Genomic DNA, 19109 nt, shown 5'->3' with positions numbered 1-19109 from the left:
TCTTCAGCAAACAGTAAAAGGGGAAATCCGGGGACGCTAAGAGTTTTTAAACCTTTGCTCCATCACATAAGTAATCCATGATTTTCCGTTACACAAATCAGGACTCCCACTCCTCCCTCCCTCCCCACCCCCAATCCTGATTCCTGTTTACAAAGAATGCTCAAAAACACAGAATTATGTGTAACAGTTCCCAGTTTACTCAAGAAATTCTCAGATTACAAAGAGACTTTACAAATAAACAAGTGAAGAGAAGAACCTTCGTGGGTCCAACATATAGTATGGCCATGGTTTTATACTCAAAATATGGAAAGACAACCTCAGAATAAGGAAACTTTTGGAATTGAATAAATCAAGTTTATCATTAGAACGCAGAGAAAAAAACACTCTCCAAATGTTTCTGATCTTCTGTTTTAAACTGCTCTTAGACTGGGGAGCGGGAGAGCAAGGGAATCCGCCAAAGATTTTTGGATGAAAATTCACCACCCCTTGTCTACCATAGTCACACCTCAATGCCCCTCAGATTGGAATCCTTTGGAAGGAGAATCCAAGAGGTATAAAGCAAAACCAGAAAAAAAGCAAAACTCGCAAATTCTGTAGTTCGTTTTCTCTCATTAAAAATATAACTATCAGGCTAACACCTGTTGACACACAATACCAGGGACACAGAATCTCTCCCGGAAGACCGACGGGCCCACGGAAGGCGCGGATGCCAAGGTGGTTGAGGAGGTTAAGTAACTCGGTGTTTGGGCATACCTCTGCGTGGGACTGTCTCCGCCGCGCCCCTCATCTCTACGCGGATAGATTCCCACACGCTTCCCTTTTCCTTGGGCCGCTGAAACCTCTCCGACCAACCGCCGAAGAGTCTCCCTGGACCCCGCAGCTTCTCTCCTTCCCGGACCTTCTTGATCCTCGCTCCATAGTGAGACGTGGCCTAACGTAGCGGAAAGCCCAGCACGCGAATCCCTCTGATGGGCTTTGGGTTACCCAGGGGTTTGCCGGGAGACTAGATGAAAGTAGCAAAGGTTTTAATTCCCAGTATTTAAAACTGCAGCAACCCACCGGAAACACTCCCCACTTTCAAGGACAGGCTTCGAGCACAGGAACGTAAATTCCGGGATTATTAGTTCGAGCACAGAGAATGCTCCAGAGGTGGCACGCCCCTCAGGTTAGCTTCTAGCTGCCACGACCAAGGTCCATAAATGCAGTACAGCCTGTATAATATAATAACTTCGTTGGGTAGAAACGTAGTAGCCCTTCCTGCCGGAAGGGTAAGAAGTCCTGCATGGCCGGGAGTCGTACCGGAGTCGCCGGCGTGGGAGACAAAAACCTCTACCGCTGAACTACCAATCCCCTACCGGGAGCAGTTTCACCAGATCTAATTTGAAGTCTCTGGACGGCCTTTGAAGCGGTGGTTCTAAAAGAGGTTTGCATAGGAAATTCATCCAGCATTTGTCTCTGGTCCCAGATCTGGCGAAAACTTCTGGAAATTTCATTTCCTCACTGATGAGGTAATCTTTTTGCCAACCCTTGCCTTGGTACTTTCCAAACCCTTTCCTCCCAACCCTGAGGCAAACAGGCTTTCGAAGACCCAGGAGCTAGAGATTTAGGGATGTGTCCAGGTTACTCCGGAAGATCTGTGGGATGACCGAACTTCTCTTCATCTACATCTCTTTTGAGTCATTTGAAAACGCCAAGTATCTTGCTTCTAAACCCATATATTTTAAGAAACCTACAGAAGTGGGAGTGAGTGAAAGTTCACTCCAATATTTCTTTTCTTATCCACACTCTCTTTGGCCACTCCAGGAGGCTATGTCGAGTGGCACAGTCATCCCAGGGACCCAGAGCTTTTCTCCTCAGATGCGTCTTTGGAGTCTCTAGTAAAGTCCAAGAATCAAAACGACTGTCATCCAACTTTTGTGTCTTACAGAGATCTACACAAGAGAGAAAGTGAAAATTTCACTACAGAATTTCTTCTCTTGGCAAACTGTGGAAGGTTTACGGCAAGCCTTTGCTTCAAGTGCCTGTTGCTTTGTTAGCTCTGTTTTCCAAAAATATCTGTGTCAGCCTATTATAGAACTTTCCCACCTCCATCCTCCCTGCCCCCTCATGCCTGCCCATAGCACTAGAGATTATCTTTAAGGAAAAAAAAAAAAAAAACTATGAGAGGTTATACCAAACGGAGCATTGATGGTTCAGTAATAGAATTGTCAACTCCCACGCTGGAGACCAGGGTTCAACTCATAGGGTGAATGCATCTCATGTCTGAATCTCCTCTTGCTCCCTTCTTTCTTTCCTCCCTCCCAAGCTTACATACCTTTGTTACCGGCTGGTGTTGTGAAGTCCCAGGTTCTTGGTGTCTTTAACAAAGAATTGGAAGTGACACACACACATGTAGCAAAGCAGCAAGAGACTTATTAAGCACAGTAACACTCTCAGAGAGGGGAGAACGGGCTGACTTCTGCAAAATGAGATCAGCGTCAGTTTGGTGAACTTTGGGCTTTGGGTCTTTTTACATGTTTTTTTTTTTTTCTTTTTTCTCCTCTTCCTGGGGCTGCCTAATCTCTACCCAGCATGTGCCTTCTGATTGATAGGTGGGTTGCTTAGTTACTTGGCCCCTGTGTGCTTCCGCATCACCTCCATCCCATAATTTTAAGTACACCCATGATATGCAGTCCATATGCATTAGCTTTAATGAGCTGATTATCATACGGGGTCATTTTAAGGCTACTTTTTCTCTGTCATATGCATGCCTTTTACTGGTTTGTTCTGGATCCTGCCAGCCATAAACTTTTACTCACTACTCCATCTCACTTTTGTTTTCGCTGCTCAACTTCTGCTTATCTTGCTTCTTGCTCACCCACCTCTTTATCCTGCTTCCGCTCCTACTCAGTTCACCCTTTATCCAACTTCCACTTCCCTCTGCTGTTCTTCTGCCTCACCTTGACTCCTCGTTGCTTGGCCTGTTGCACACCAAATTTACTGCAAATAAAACTCTCTCTGATGATCTTCTACTCCACCTGTGGAGTTCCACAGTATGAGCAGCAGAGTAGCAGGAGCTGGAGCAGAGGTGGTGTTGGGTGAAACTCACACAGTGAAATTTCACTTATGCAAATGCTCAAGCACTTGTGAGAGGTTAGAATTAGCTCTTTCTTTGGAATGAACTATTTCAGTGAGATGTTAAGCTTACACTTAAAGTGTAAGCTCTTTCACCAAATTAATTGATGTGCTCAGGGTGAGTGAAATAAAGGGGTAAACCAGGATTAGTGCTGCAGGGTCAGAGCTAATGACACAAGCTTCTCTCCTCAGGTCTATTCATTTGAGATACATCTCAGGCACTTAAGCACAGCAATGCTACGTTGGTGCCAATTATATACATACACACATATAAATATATAAAAAGCATATAATATAAACATTACATATGTAAATATAAATTGTACCAATAAAATCAACACCAAGCTTGTTTTTAATCATTCACTCAAAATGTATTGAACAGCTACTGTGCAGTGTTGGGACTCCTTAGAAACTTAAGACAAAAATATTGGGCGTGATAGTGTGTGCCTGTAGTCCCAGCTACTCAAGACGCCTAGGCAGGAGGATGGCTTGAATTCAACAGTCCAAGTGCAGCCTGGGCAACATAGTGAGACTCAGTCTTTTTTTTTTTTTTTTTTTTTTTTTCTGAAATGGAGTCTTACTCTGTGGCCCAGGCTGGAGTTCAGTGGCACAAGCTTGCCTCACTGCAACCTCCACCTCCCGGGTTCAAGTGATTCTCCTGCCTCAGCCTCCCAAGTAACTGGGATTACAGGCATGCGCCACCACACTCAGCTAATTTTGCATTTTTAGTAGAGATGGTGTTTCACCATGTTGGCCAGGCTGGTCTCGAACTCCTAACCTCAAGTGATCCACCCACCTTGGCCTCCCAAAGTGCTGGGATTACAGGCGTGAGCCACCGTGCCCAGCCAAGACCCAGTCTTTAAAATAATAACATAAAATAAACCCATAAACCTCAAACAAAAAGCAAACTATGATTTCAATCATTGTGAAGCTCTTGATCTAGTAGATGAGTTATATATATATATACCAAAAATATTACAATTTCAGAGAAGTGCTATAGGGTCTAATATTTAATAACTTATGGCATTTGACTGACGGTAGTCAAAGCTCTTCCCCCATTTTCCAGGGGGTATAAATTAAGGAAAGTTATTTAGTATTTACTAAATTTGGGCTTCTTCATATGCAAGGGGGTTATGATAATAATACCTACCTCGTGAAGACAGTATGAGGACTAAACAAAATTGTGTATGTATAGCTTTGGCCAATACCCATAGACACTGAGCGCTCAACTAGGTGTTAGCTACTAGATTTTAAATTTTAAATTATTTTTATAGTTTTTAAGATAAAATTTACATTCATTGAAATGTTAACTGAATTTTTTGTAATTCCTACCCCTATCAAGACAGACCATTTTTAGCACCCAGAAATTTCTCTTGTGTGCCTTCCCAGTCAATATCCTGTTAGAAGGAACTGCTGTTATGATTTTTTCACCACAGATTAATTTTGCCTTTTCTGGAATTTCAAATAAATGGGATGGTATGCACTCTTTTGTGTCATTTATTTATCTTCACATACTTTAAAATAAAAAGGTCCAATTGGGGATGTAGTAAAAACCTCTTTCCCACCAGTAGCCACCAGTCAAGAGTCTTTCTTTCTCTCTCTCTCTTTTTTTTTTTTTTTTGACAGGATCTTGCTCTGTCATCCAGGCTGAAGTGCAGTGGCATGATCATGGCTCACTGCAGCCTCTCAACCTTCTGGGCTCAAGCAATCCTCCCACCTCAGCCTCCCACACAGCTGGGACTACAGGTGTTTGGGACTACCAGCTAATTTTGCTTGTATTTTGTGTAGAGACAGGGTCTCACCAAGTTGCCCAGGCTAGTCTCAAACTCCTGAGCTCAAATGATCTGTCAGCCTTGGCCTCCCAAAGTGCTTGGATTACAGGCATGAGCCACTGTGCCTGGCTCGCTCTTCCTCTCTTGAAGCAACCAATGTTATTCGTTTTATGTGGACCATCCCAGGGCTATCATTATTAATTCAGGTGTTTATACAAGGCTCTCTGAGAACTCAGTTTTAAAGATTACCCAAAGAGTCCCTGCAACAATCCAGCCTAAAACGATATAAAATCAGTTTTAATATAACTGAAGTTTTTAGATTCTGCCTCCAAATATCAGATTGTGACATTTTACCTTTCTCTGACTTTATGCCAAATTTACTTCAACTTCTAGCATCTATCGTTCTCATTTAGGAACAAATATGTATTTCACAAATGTGGAAATACAACCATGAGCCAAACAAAACCAAATCCTGGACTTACGGAGCTGATGGTAGATTCCCCAACATAACCACTTGATTACAGTTTTATGCAATGTGATGGGAGTAAGGGACCACCGTAGGGAGGTCAGAAGTTGCCTCTCAGAGGTGGAGACTACAGCTGTCGTCAGAAGGATGAGGGTTGGAAGAATCTTCAGGCACAGAGCAAAGCATGAGCAAAAGCTCTGTGGAGTCCAGGAAGCTGAGTAAATAGGGAATAAAAGAGGCCAGTTTGGCTGAAGCAGAGAGAGCAGGATGGAATTGGTCTGACCTGTAAGAAGACATGGAGAGGTGGGCAAAGCGCCTGGCCATTCAGGGCTTGGTTAGTTAGGAGGTTTTGTCTAAGAGAACGGGAAGGTGTTTAAGTGGTTTGGGCTGGGAAGTGACAGGGTCACATTACATTTTGAAAAAGCCACTCTGCCTGTTGTGTTGAGATTAGAGAGGCGATAAAGGGGATATGGGTAAACCACAAGGAGACTAGGTCAGTAGTCCCTCCACCCCCACTCCCCAGGTGAAGGTAGCCTAGACTAGGGTGGTGATGGAGGAGGTAGAAGAGGACAGATTCAAGGAAAATTTGGAAGGTAAAAACCAGTAGGATTTGCTGATGGACGGAATATAGGAGGGGAAAGGTAGATTATCAGGGATGTATCTTAGTTTTCTTATAGAAGATGTATTTAGTTGCAATGCAATTGTTAATTGAAATTGACTTTAAATAATGGCACGACTTAAAATTATGCAAACATTTGCCTTAGATAAAATTTCAAGTTTTCAAAGTTTTTAGCTGGGTAGATGGCATGGCTTTACTTCATATTTCTTGGTATTTCCTAATCTTGTTAAAAAAAAAGTTTTTCTTTTTCTCAAAGGCTTATTTCAGTGGAAGCCCATCTGCGAAATCTGTTATAAATTTAAATTAGAAAATAAATACAAGTGCCATTGACACGTTGGTTATTGTTTTTGCGAGTGACCTAAGGCCACCTCTCGCGGGAGCTGGGGGCTGCCTTCCGACTCCTGTGCGTCTGCGCCGCGGGCCGAGCCCGGAAGTCAGACTATGGGGCGGTGCGGCAGCGCGAAGCCTGCAGTCCTAAACGCGGGGTAGCTCCGGGCTTCCGAGGGGGTGTGTCTCCCGCCTCTTTAACCTGGCAGGGGCGGTTCAAGTGGCCGGGGAAATCAGCGAATTGCAGGGTCAAGGGCTGGTGCTTTGAAAGAGAGGCGGAGGGGAGAGAGGGATTTTCCCGTCCCCGCTGCGCTCTGTCCTCCATTACTCCTTTTCTCGGCCCGCGGCCCGAACCCGCTGTGCGGTAGAGGCAGCCGGGTCCCTTTAAGGCCCAGCTGCGCCTGTGCCTTGGGCTCTCCTGACACGGCCCATCCGGACCCTGAGGAGCCAGCGGGCCGCAAGCAAGTTGCTGGGCGGCGGTGGAGATAGCGGCGGTGCTGGGAGGGGTAGGTGAGGGTCGCGAGGCTGCCTGAGCTTCTGAGTGAGCCTGGTGATTTTGGGAACGCGGGACGGGCGACCTGCGGCGCCAGGAGCGGGGCCGAGGTACGGCGGCACGGCTGCAGCCTGGATGGGAAGTTCAAGTTTACTGCGAAGTCCACCCAGCGTTCCGGAGGTGAGGGCGCCGCGCCAGGCCGGGCGGGAGGTGAGTCTGGGACCTGCGGGCTCACAGCTGGGCTGAGGCGCGGCGGGCTGGGCCGCCGCAAGTTTTGTTAGGCGAGCGGGGCGGTTGCGCCGGGCACTGCCGGGCTCCGCAGGGCTCCGCCGGGGCCTAAGTTCCCTGCGCTTGATTCCTCGCCTGCCGCTGCAGCCCGCAGCCCTCCTCTCGTGGGCGCTGGGGAAGAAACTCCCTGGCAGGTGTTCTGTGGCATCCCAGGGGGTGGAGGGACGGAGCAGCTTCGGGGGCACGTCTTCGGAAGTCCTGTGGAGCACACTGACTTCGCACCCCACCCTCGAGGCCGTTCTTTCTGGGAACTTGAGGGGCAAGAGCGCTCGCGCCCCTGACTTGCAAAGTTGGGGTCTTTATTGGCCTCCGGGATTCTGCTCCTGGCGGTGTCTCCAGGCTGGTGATGGGCAAGCCAGGTGTGCCAGGTCCAGGATGCATGTGAGGAGCGTTTGTAGCGATCACTGAATCATCTCATGACTAGCGGGGCAAGCCTCCAATTAACCACAGGATTTCTGGTAGGTTGGACTGTGGTGTTGGTGTTTGCAGTCCAAAGAGTTGCTGTGATTTTTCTGTGCCTGTCTGTCTTTCTTTGAGGCTTCTTAGATCATCTCATTTGGCGTCCTTTCACCCAAGAGTTAACCAAGCGAGGAATGGTTTCCTCGCTTTCCTCCTACCTTTTGCTGGTGGAGCTGCTTTCGAAAAGAAGCACTTTAAGAGGCCGACGCGGGCGGATCATGAGGTCAGGAGATTGAGACCATCCTGGCTAACACAGTGAAACCCCGTCTCTACTGAAAATACAAAAAATTAGCCGGGCATGGTGGCAGGTGCCTGTAGTCCCAGCTACTCGGGAGGCTGAGGCAGGAGACTCGCTTGAACCTGGGAGGCGGAGGTTGCAGTGAGCGGAGATATCTTGTCACTGCACTCCAGCCTGGGTGACAGAGCGAGACTCCCTCTAAAAAAAAAAAAAAAAGCCTTTTCTTGCAGTGGTATCTTTTCTTTGAGTTACAGTGTTGTTCATCCTTTCTTTGCCGAAAGAATGAATACCAGTGCTTCACGAAGTTAAGGAAAACTGATGTGCTGGTGGTTTTTAATCTTTGTTCTGAGCTGTTATGCATTAATAGCTTTCTTTTTGTTTTTAAATTTAATTAGTAAAATTTCACCAGTGAACCAAAAGCTCTTTTTTTTTTCTATTCTAAAATGCTAGCTTTAAGATTTCTGAGAACTTTGTGTCAAAGAAATCTTCGAAAAGTTACTGAAGTATACAGAAGAAGTTCACAATTTTAAACGTGCAGGTGATCTGGGCGTGGTAGATCACACCTGTAATTCCAGCATTTCGGGAGGCCAAGGTGGGCGGATCACTTGAGCCCAGGAGTTCCAGACCAGCCTGGGCAACGTGGCAAAATGCCATCTCTACTAAAAATACAAAAATTAGCTGTGTGTGGTCAACAGAGCCTGGGAGGTTGAGATTGCAGTGAGCAGTGATCGTGCCAGTGCACTCTGGCCTGGATGGCAGAGTGCAACCCTGCCTCAAAAAAAAAAAAAAAAGTACAGGTCATGTGTTTTTACTAAATGAACCACCACAGATTAAGAAATAGAACATTACTATATTGGGGTATATATGTAGAAGTGGCATTGTTGGTTTTAGAGCTATATGAATGATAAAACTTTAGTATTACATATGGCTGAACATTTTCCCAAAGTGTTTTATCAGTTAGCAGGGAATATTCCAGTTACCCCACATCCTTGCTGATGCTTGTCAGTTAAAAATTATTTTGTTATTCTCGTAGAGGTGCAGTAATATATCAATGCGGTTTCAACTTCCATTTTCCTGGTATTGAGATTGAGTATCTTTTATTGCCATTTATATGTCCTCTTTTATGAAGTGCCTGTTAAATCTTTTTTTTTTTTTTAATTTTAAATCTTTAATTTCCGTTTTCACGTATTTTCTTCTTGCTTCCAAAAGGAAAGGAGTGCGTAGCTCTGTTGCCTGTACATCGTCCACAGCCCCTGGGTCGGGGCGGGGTCCCCTGGGCCGCCCGGGGGGGTCCACATGCAGCCCCTGGGTGGGGGCCGGCGCGGGGTGAGGTCCGGGGGCCGCCTTATTGCTGAGGTCCGGCTGGTTGGGGCCGCCGCTAGGCGCGCTGGCTGGGCAGCTCCTGGGAGATGAAGCGACGCAGGCGCTCCAGGTACTGGCTGTAGAGCTCGATGTCGTTGTGCCCGGCGCCCTCCACCCACAGCGGCTCCACCGCCTTGGGGCAGCGCTCGTAGAGCGCCAGCCCGTGCGAGAAGTCGATCACCTCGTCCTCCCTGCCGTGGATGATGAGCACGGGAGACGTGATCTTGGACACCTTCTCGATGTTAGGGAAGGCGTCGAAGCAGTAGGTCTTCTTGGTGTCGCGGAAGGCGACGCGCATGCCCGAGGTGAGCGGCGAGTGCAGCACCACCGCGGCACACTCGTAGCGCGAGGCCAGGTCCATGGTGGGCACCGTGCCGATGCTCTGCCCGTACAGGATGATGCTGTCCGGGCTGATGCCGTACCTGGCGGCGCCGGAGCAGGGTCAGCCGCGGCCTCCAACGCGCGCGCACCCTTCCCACCAGCGGGCGTCCCCGGGCCCAGCTCCGGATGCGACCCTCCAGTCTCCCCACTCAGCCAAGTCAGTGGGTCAGGCTCAGGCTCCACACCAGTCCCGAGGGCCACCCCCAGCCCCCAACACCGTGGCGGTGGGCGAAGCCAGCGGCCCCGCCCCGTTCCCTGCGCTGCCGTTCACTGGCGTTTCCTAGCTAGGATCTGCAGGGATCCTGCCTACGGAGTGCCCCTGGGGCGGGGGTAAGGGAGGCCCTGGCGCCTCTCCTCCTCCTGGTCACCCCTAGGTGCACACTGGGAACTGTGTGGCCCCCACATCCTGAATGCTTCATACCTTCCTGCCCGGGTTAGAAAGCCGTTCCTGGTGCACTGGCCAGGACAGCGGACACTCTTCCTCCCTGCAGCCCTTGCCCACCCCCTTGGCCATGAGGAATTCAGGCAGCTGTGTCCCCAAATGTCTCCACCCAATTTTGGACTCTCGGAGTCCCCACGCCCAGTGAGATGCCAGTGCAACCCAGGTCAGCATCGAGGGTGGTGGCTGCGGAGGTGGCACCCCCTCCCACCAGCACCTTCCCTTGGGAGTGGACAAGTCCTCGGCCACCTCAGCACCACCAGCTCCCACCCAGGGGCACCCTCACCCCCAGGTCATTGGTGTGCGGCCCCTGACCCAGCTGATCCAGCACCAGTTACAAGGCCTCCTCGTGCCCAGTCCCAAGCACGCGGGACCCACCTGCCACCCTGCCCATGCCGGGACCCCACAACTCTCCTCCCACACGCTCTAGGCTCTGATCCCAGGCAGACGCCCTCTTGCAAGGCAGGAGCATGGGCAGGTGTGCGTCCCCTCTGCCTGGCATTCGGACTCCACCAGCAGGGCTGTCCCCGTCCCTGGCCTGGAATCCCAGCCTCCTGGCAGCACTCCACAGCTCGCCACTCACCCATGCCCCAAAGGATGCTGCCTGGCTGGTGCCTGTGGCCCCAGCTCTGCCTCGGCCTCCCCGGCCTGCTCCCTGGCAGCCATGGTCAGTAGTGTGCTGAGCCAGCCCAGCCCTGCCACCTGCTACAGGCAGGAGCCCCCAGCTGCCACCTGGATGTCACCACTCAAACGAACGGGACACATCCCCAGTGGAGGCCCTGGGCACGCTCTGGCCTCCCCCTCATGGCTCTGGGCCTAGGTTCCTGCAGGACAAAGGGGCAGCAGGACAGATGGCCGAGCAGACAGAGCTCAGAGCTGGCCATGGCAGGTGTGACTCTGCCAGTGGCCCAGGCAGTAGAGACAGGAGGGGCCGAGGAAGCCGCATGAAGTGGTGATTGGTGTCAGCGTCCCACAACTGCCGGGAGGCCCCTGGAGCCAGGGTGGTGCCAGGGGACCAGCTCCCAGGCCCACAGCAGGGACTGCCTGCATATCACCAAGGCAACGACGACCCCACCTCCCTAGGGCCTCTGACTTCTCAGAGCTGTGCCTGGTCCCTGCGGGAGCAGGTCAGACCAGTGGGCTGGGCAGGGCCAGGACGAGACAGGCCCAGTGGATGGCGAGCAGGAAAAGCCACCAGAGGCCCAGCCGGGTCTCCTCGTCCAAAGCAGCACTGGCCCGGGCGCTGCTCAAACACCGGTGAAGGGCCCAGGCAAGCACAGGGCTGGGGACGTGGATGACTAGGAGGGCTGGATCTGGAATCGAGGCTGGCCCAGACCTCGGATGTGTGCTGCGGGTCTGCACCTTACCCTGTAGGCCCTGCCCCAGGATGGCCAAGCTCCGCAGCCACAGGGCCTCATGGGCCAGTCCTCCGGACCTGGATGCAGCAGCCTCGCCTCACTTGGCCCCAAGTGCTGCCTCAGCCGATGGGCTCCCAGCCACACGTGCACAGACCCCCAGACCACCACCCACTCCCTCCCGCCAGGTGGCATCCACACCCCTGTGACAAGCTCAGCCCCTTCCCATCCTCAGGCCAGGGGTTCCCAGGGAGCCTGGCTCCACAGGCCAGGGTGTGGGAGGACCGCCTGGCCACACCTCAGCCATGTGGAGGCGGCACCTGCACACCCAAGCTCGCCTGTCCGGCTCTCTGGCCCTGTGCATCCACTGTGGCTCCCCTCCTGCAGGGCCGCCCACCTTCCTCCCAGGGAAGCCCGCCCCCCGGCCCCCCGCCTGGTCCCCTCTTGGGTGTGCCCAGGCTGAGCTGCCCCCAGGGTCGCCCTCACCTGGTGCGCAGGGCCTGCCAGGTGGCGTCGATGTCGGCATAGAGGTTCCTCTCGGAAGGCCTGCCCGAGCTGGCACCGTAGCCGGAGGAGTCGTAGGTGAAGATGTTGCAGTGGAGGCGGGAGCCCAGGCCAATGTAGAAGCTGCTCATCTGGCCCAGGTCCACGGCATTGCCGTGCGAGAAGAGGACCGTGTACCTGGCACCAGGCACGCAGCGAACATACATGCAGGAGACACGGTTGCCGCGGGCGCTCTTGGTGGGGAAGACCTCGATGGTGTCCAGCTCGCGCTGGCTGTACTGGAAGTCGGCACGCTCCGTCAGGTGCAGCTTCCAGCGCCCGGGTGCGCCCGAGGAGGCTCTCAGGGTCCCCAAGGGGGCGGCCCCGGCCCCACCAGGCCCCAGCTCGGGCTCAGGCACCAGGGAGTAGGTGGCCTCCGGCGGCAGGAAGGCGAGCTTGGCAGCGATGCGGCCGGGGCAGGGAGGGCAGCAGAAGAGGCAGCAGAGCTCACTCAGCGACAGCCCGTTCATGGCGGGCGCCGCCCGGGCCGGGCCTCCACCGGGGCCCCCGCCAACAACGCCGCCCGGCCTGGCCCGGCAGGGGAGGGGTGGGGTGCTCCGAGTCGCGGGCAGGGGGGAGAGCGCCCCCCCAGCTACCGCCCCAGACAGCAGCCCCGTTAGGAGGCCAGGGCCCAGCCCCATCGCGGTCCAAGCCGAGCCCCAGGGAGCCTCGCAACCACAGGTCTCCATGTCGTGCCGTGGGAAGCCCACCCCGGCCCGCGCCCCCGGGCCCCAGGGCCGCGCTCCATGGCTCCCGGCCGCCCGCCCGTGCGTCCGTCGGTCCCTCCGCACCCCTGCCCCTAAATCTTTTTATCCAGTTTTCATTGATATGCTTTTCTGTTGATTTGTAATACTTTATTCTGGATATGCATCCTTTCTAGGATATATATGGATTGCATTTCTCTTTTTTCAATCTGCAGCTTGTGTTTTCACTCTTTTAATGACGTTTTTTCATGAATGGAGATTCTCTAATTTTTTTTCTTTTTGAGACAAGATCTCACTCTGTTGCCCAGGCTGGAGTGCAGTGGTACAATCACAGCTTAGTGCAACCTCGACCTCCCAAGGCTCAGGTGATGCTCCTGCCTCAGTCCCCAAGTAGCTGGGACCTACAGGAGACCACTACCATGCTCAGCTGTTTTTTGTATTTTTACTAGACATGGGGTTTTGCCATGTTGCATAGCCCGATACGGAATTCCTGGGCTCAAGTGACACCTGCCTCGGCCTCCCAAAGTGTTGGGATTATAGGCATGAGCTACCGCACCCGGCCAGAGTATCTTAATTTTAATGAAATATACTTTATCAATCTTTTCCTTTATGGTTACTGCTTATTGTGTCCTGTTTAAGAAATCAATGCCTGGCCAGGTGCGGTGGCTCATGCCTGTAATCCCAGCACTGTGGGAGGCCTAGGCAGGTGGATCACGAGGTCAGGAGTATGAAACCAGCCTGGCCAACATGGTGAAACCCCGTCTCTACTAAAAATACAAAAATTAGCTGGATGTGGTGGCGGGCACCTGTAATCCCAGCTACTCAGGAGGCTGAGGCAGGAGAATTGCTTGAACCCAGGAGGCGGAGGTTGCAGTGAGCCGAGATTACACTACTGTACTCCAGCCTGGTTGACAGAGCAAGACTCTGTCTTGTACCAAAAAAAAAAAAAAAAAAAAAAAGAAAGAAAAAAGAAATCAATGCCTAGCCTAAGAATATGAACACACTTTTCTATATTAACCTTATAGCAATTTTATTTTAGTTTTTGCATTTTTTTTTTTCAGACAGGGTCTTACTCTGTTGCCCAGGCTGAAGTGTGTTGGCATAATCTCAGCTCACTGCCACCTCCACCTCCTGGCTCAAGCAATCCTCCTGCCTCAGCCTCCTGAGTAGCTGCGACTATAGGCGTGTGCCACCATGCCTGGCTAATTTTTGTATTTTCTGTAGAGATGGGGATTCAACATGTTTCCCAGGTTGGTCTCAAACCCTTGGGCTCAAGTAGTCTGCTTGCTTCAGCCTCCCAAAGTGCTGGGATTACGGCATGCACCACCATGCCCAGCTAATTTTTTATTTTTTGTAGACAGGGTCTTCCTGTGGTGCCCAGACTAGTTTCAAACACTTGGGCTCAGTTGATTGTCACACCTTGGCATCCCAAAGTGTTGGGATTACAGGTGTGAGCCATCACATCTGGCCATTTTAGTTTTAATAATTTTTATATTTTTCTAATTTAAAACAGGTACTAAAATCTCTTACAGCTATTATTTGTAAATATAGTATTCATTATTGTTATTATTTTTTTTTGTATGTGTTCAATCTCATTTTCAATATAAGCTCCTGGAAATTAGAGATTTTGTTTCTTTTATTCACCACTGTATTCTCAGTACTTGACCTCGCCTGGCATGAAACAGATATTGAATAAATATTTGTTAAATGAATGAATGAATGAACATACTAATACCATATTCAGCAATCTCCAAGTGTCACGGTTTTCACCATCTAACAAATAAAATAGCTTGTATAGAGCAGAATCATAGTCAAGCTGCCATAAAAGGAAATGCCAATGAAAAATAAACCTTTGTATGTGTAGCTGCTAAGATTTTGGGGCTTTTGTTACTGCAGCATAACCTAGTGAAAGCTCAGTGAGACAGCCTGTAGAATATACGGGTACAGATAGACCAGATAGACCAGTAGATGAGATTCCAAAGAAGCATTAACTACGCCCACACACTCTTAATTCCCTAACAGAAAGAATCGAATTCTTGTTCACTAAGATCTACCTCAAATATTCCTTACTTTGTGAAAACTTCCCTGGCTACTCAAATATTTAGTCAGAACTCTATTTTTTTCCCCCCAGGCTGGAGTGCAGTGGTGCCATCATAGCTCACTAACCTCTAACTCAAGGCTCAAGGAATCCTCCTGCCTCAGCCTCCCGAGTAGCTGAGAGTGCAAGTGTGCGCCACCATGCTCGGCTAATTTCTCATTTTTTATTTTCAGAGATGGGGTCTTACTATGTTGCACAGGCTGGTGAGGACTGTTGATTACATATGACAGAAACCCAACCAACTCTAGTTCCCCACCACCTTTCAATCTGCTCCTGCCTGGGTCTTCCCAGTCTCGGTAAATGGCAGCTTCACCCTTCAAGTTGCCCAAGCCCCAAATCTCAATGTTAACCTTGATTTCTCTCTTTTATCTCATAGGCATTCTGAAGGCAAATCCTGTTTAGACCCAGGCAAAGGTTCCTGGTGACCCAGGCTCTCATGAGCAGATTGTCCCTTATCATTCTCCTGAGGATGTCTGGAGCTTCAGTGCTGTGTGCTCTTGGCCTCCACACTGGGGGTGCCACCAACTCCCACTGTCCAGGGCTTCTGGTGGACTCTCCGAGGCACCGATGTAGAAACTTACCCATTCAGTGCACCAAGAGCAGCTTCACATGGTGTGGGCCGACATGAAGAGCTGCCAGATCCAACAGGTAAAAATCCTGAGGCATTGCCAGCTCGATGGGGTCAGAGAGTCCTCTTTCTATTATGACTCAGATGTGAAGGGAAGATGCCAAGGGCCCTAAACATCACAGGGCCTTGCCTGGCATCAAACAGATATTAAATAAATATATGTTAAATGAATGAACAAATATTCACAGCGTGTGCCGCCCTGGACTTGCAGTGCCATGGTCGGGTGAAAGTGATTTTACTTCAGGAGAGGACATGTTCTCTTCAGGACTTTTCCTTGGTAGCTAGATCTGCATCCCTCTCCTCTCTCTTCCCCTCTCACCCCCCATTCTCTGCCCCCATTTCTCTCTCTGTTTCCACCCTGCTGTCCTCTTTCACCTGCTTTCTCCTCTTCAGCTTTCATGGCTCACCCCCTCCCTGTCCACCCGCATCCCCCAGGCTAAGGCTCTGCACTGTCCTGGGTGGGGAGATGTGTGTGGTTTTAGGCAGTGCCCTCTAGATGTGTCCAGGATGGGGAAACATGGCTCAGTTGCCAGTATAATGGGTTAAAAGAGAGACCACTTTTGAAGGCCGATCCCATCTCCCATTCCAGAATCCTGTAGGACTTAGAATTTATGGGCCACAGTGGAATTCTTGGTTCCCCAGGACCTTGTGGTGGACGCCTTCTTTCACTGACCATTCATGGGGTGACTATTAGGTACCATGCCCTGCTCTGGGCTAGAGGCCCCATAATGAGTAAATCTCAGGTCACTACCCCACGGAACCCACCACTGCAGGCATTGAGAGGGGGAGAAAGAAAGGGGCATGGCCTGTTTGTATCCTTCTCACGTGGCTGCCCACCAGGTCCTGGGGGAGTGGGAGCCAGTGCAAGGAGGGAAGTCCAGTGAGAATGACAAATGGACGATGTCAGACCCAGGGGCTGAGGCCCCCACCTGCAGCCGGGCAGCTTCTGGAGTGGACAAGGAGCAGCAGGGAAGGTTGCGGCCTGGTGTTCTGGGATCCACTGTCTCATCTCATTCTTTGGGGCACCAGAACTTATCCAAAGACAAGACTCAGTGTCTCTGGCAACAGCGGGCCAGAGGAATAATGTGTTTCAGAGGAGGAAGAAGGGGTTGTACCCCATGGAAACAGTATATAGTTTTACAGTAGTGCGTCTCTCTCTAATAACTAGTTAGCATGTTCCTGTTAATGGAAATACTGGTGGTGTAAGTTCCCCTGGATGTTCTCATCTTCATGTAAATTTGTTCATTTCCTTCCTTCCTTTCTTCCCTACTTCTCTCCCTTCCCTACTTCCCTCCCACTCTCTTTCTCTCTCTCTTTATTCTTTCCCTCCCTCCTTCCCTTCTGCCTTCCCTCCCTTCCTTTCTTCCTCCCTTCCTCCCTCCCTCCCTGCCTTCCTTCCTCCCTCCCTTCCTTCCTTCCTCCCTCCCTCCTTCCCTCCCTCCCTCCATTCTTTCCTTTCTTCTTTTTCTTTCTCTCTCTCTCATGCTCTCTCTTTTTCTTTCCTTTTTGTTCTACTATTTTAAATAGACCACACTGCACTGAAATCTACATTGCTTATCAAAATCTCTGGAGCTGCTTCTGTCTTGTGGGCAGGGAGCTCATCCTGTAGCCCTTAGGTCCTCCCAGCCTCCTCCTCCTCTGATTTGTGGGTGCCACTGGGGCAGCTGCTGAGTCTCAGTGGTTCCTAGTCATCACCAAGTTCTGCCCACCTAGATGGTTTGCACCTGTCCTTACCAGAACCCTGAACTGTCTAGATGACTGAGGCTGCTTCTGCCTAACTGATCTGCTAGCTGTGTTCCGGGGGCACCCCAGGGTTAGAGGTAAATGGCATAGGCATTGAAATCTCCAACTGCTCTGACTCCAGGTTGGTGCACTTCAATGCCAAGTACTAACCAAACAATAACAGGATGCCACCAAAACCTTGGTATGGGGCTGCTGCATCCTAATTAAAAAAAAGTAATAGATGTTATTTTTTAGAACAGTTCTAGGTTTACAGAAAAATGGAGTAGATAGTACAGAGAGTTCTCCTAGGCTCCCCTGTCCTCCAGCACACAATTTCCCCTATTAGTATGTTGTATTAGTGTGGTCCATTCGTTACAATTGATGAACCACTGTTGATACATCATTATCAACTAAAGTCCATAGTTTACATTAGAGTTCATTCTTTGAGTTTCACAGATTATGGGTTTTGGCAATTACGTAATGTCCTAAATCCTCAATACAGCATCATGCAAAATAGTTTCACTGCTGAAAATTCCCTGTGCTTCACCATTTCATGCCTCCTCCTCTCCTCCACCCCTGACAACCACTCATCGTTTTACTACTTCTATCTTTTTGACTTTCCAAGAATGTCCTAGAGTTGGAATTACAGTATGTAGGTTTCCAGACTGGCTTCTTTCTAGCATTATGTAGTTTAAGTTCCTCCACGCCTTTTCATGACTTGATAGCTTGTTTTGTAAAATCCCTGAATCAGATTTCATTGTATGGCTACAACACAGTTTGTTTATTCATTCACTTGGTGAAAGACGTCTTGGGTACTTCCAAGTTTTGACAATTATGATAAAATTGCTGTAAGTACTTACGTGCAGGATTTTGAATGAACTTAAGTTTTCCAAAGTGACTACACTTTTGATTTCCACTAGCTATGGAGAGTTCTGGTTGTTCCTGATCTTTGACAGCATTTGGTGTGTTCACCGTTTTGTGTTTTAGCCATTCTGATAGGTTTATGGTGATATCTCGTTGTTTTAATGTGCAATTCCCTCACAAATGATTTTGAGCATCTTTCTCATATGCTTATTTGCCATCTGTATATCTTATTAATGAGGTGTTCAGATCTTTCACCTTTTTTTTTTTTGCTTTGTGTTGTTTAGTTCTCAGAATTCTTCATATATTTTGGACAGCAGTTTTTCCATCAGATTATTTTGTAAGTATTTTCTCCCAGTCTGTGACTTGCTTTTTCCATTCTCTTAACAGTGTCTTTCACAGAACAGAAGTTTTTAATTTTAATGAGGCTCAACTTAATTTTTTTTCATTAGTAGATTGTGCTTTTGGTTTTGTATTTAAGAAGCCATCATTGAACCCAGGATCCCCGAGATTTTCTCCTATGTTATCTCCTAGGATTCTTATGGTTTTGCGCTTACATTTACGTGTAAGATTTATTTTATAAAGGATATAACATGCATACCTGGATTTATTTAGTTCTTTGCATGTGGTTGTCCAGCTGTTCTAGCACCACTAGTTGGAAAGGCTATCTTTGCTGTTTTAAATTGTCTCTAAACCTCCATGGAAGATCAGTGGACTGTATGTAGGCCTGCTTCTGGGCTCCGTATTCTTTTCCATGCATCTATTTGTGTGTGTTTTCTCTTTTGACCAACTTCACACTATTTGGGTTACTGTAGCTTAATGTAAGTCCTGAAGTTGGTAGTGCCAAACCTCAGGGAGTTTTTCTGAACTTCATCATGAGAACCTGGTTGAGATCATTGTAGTAAAACTTGGAAATGTGTAAGATTCCCCCTTAGTCTGGTCTTCAAGGAGTTTTTAATGTTCTAGCCAGGCTACCCTCAGCTTCTAGTAACCTGTCAATATCATTTAAGTGCTCCTCCCACTTGCTGTCCCCAGTAGCTTCTCTTCCCTGTGACCTGTGACTCCTTATGTGTTAGCCTGTGTTTCTCATTTTTAAGGTGGCAGTTTTCCCTGTGACCTCAATTCTCTGATCCACCCTAGAAGGGTTGACTTTCAGTTTGTTCAGCTTTTTTCTAGCTGTGAGGACAAGTGATGACTGCCTAGCTCTTTCCATGTTGAAATAGAAACCCAAAAGTTTGTT

The 19109-nt window shown here is 49.5% G+C and overlaps 1 protein-coding gene, 1 long non-coding RNA gene and 1 pseudogene across 20 annotated transcripts in view, besides 2 other annotated features; 1 reads left to right on the top strand and 2 right to left on the bottom strand.

Annotated features, from left to right (window-relative positions):
* Positions 1 to 174: 174 nt before the first annotated feature.
* LOC105371227 (uncharacterized) lies at positions 175 to 3056 on the bottom strand. Its single transcript, XR_922068.4, has 2 exons — positions 2315 to 3056; positions 175 to 1931 (listed from the first exon to the last, which is right to left on the bottom strand). It is a non-coding gene; the product is annotated as an uncharacterized LOC105371227 (long non-coding RNA).
* The window catches only part of NBPF11 (NBPF member 11), a 50131-nt gene continuing 37461 nt past the window's right edge, over positions 6440 to 19109 (top strand). For 8 of the 19 annotated variants that reach the window (NR_110864.3, NR_169628.1, NM_001385468.3 and 5 more), the window contains exons 1-2: positions 6440 to 6971; positions 15035 to 15306. The gene's annotated coding sequence lies outside the window, so the exon portion shown is untranslated. Of the gene's footprint in view, positions 7002 to 15034; positions 15307 to 18156; positions 18210 to 19109 lie in introns of all 19 variants that reach the window. The other 11 variants (NR_046188.5, NM_001385470.3, NM_001385475.1 and 8 more) reach the window with 2 other exon arrangements.
* Positions 6520 to 6629: an enhancer, noted in NCBI's record as "active region_1638". NCBI's record gives its function as "activates an Ori minimal core promoter by ATAC-STARR-seq in GM12878 lymphoblastoid cells {active_cell/tissue: GM12878}" and the evidence as "EXISTENCE:reporter gene assay evidence [ECO:0000049][PMID:35858748]".
* Positions 6650 to 6849: an enhancer, noted in NCBI's record as "active region_1637". NCBI's record gives its function as "activates an Ori minimal core promoter by ATAC-STARR-seq in GM12878 lymphoblastoid cells {active_cell/tissue: GM12878}" and the evidence as "EXISTENCE:reporter gene assay evidence [ECO:0000049][PMID:35858748]".
* On the bottom strand, positions 8933 to 12655 carry ABHD17AP1 (ABHD17A pseudogene 1; annotated as a pseudogene).

The sequence above is a fragment of the Homo sapiens genome, chromosome 1 (assembly GCF_000001405.40).
Source record: "Homo sapiens chromosome 1, GRCh38.p14 Primary Assembly".
Taxonomy (NCBI): domain Eukaryota; kingdom Metazoa; phylum Chordata; class Mammalia; order Primates; family Hominidae; genus Homo; species Homo sapiens.
The sequence above is the reverse complement of the archived record's forward strand: the minus strand, read 5'-3'. Positions and strand labels throughout refer to the sequence as shown.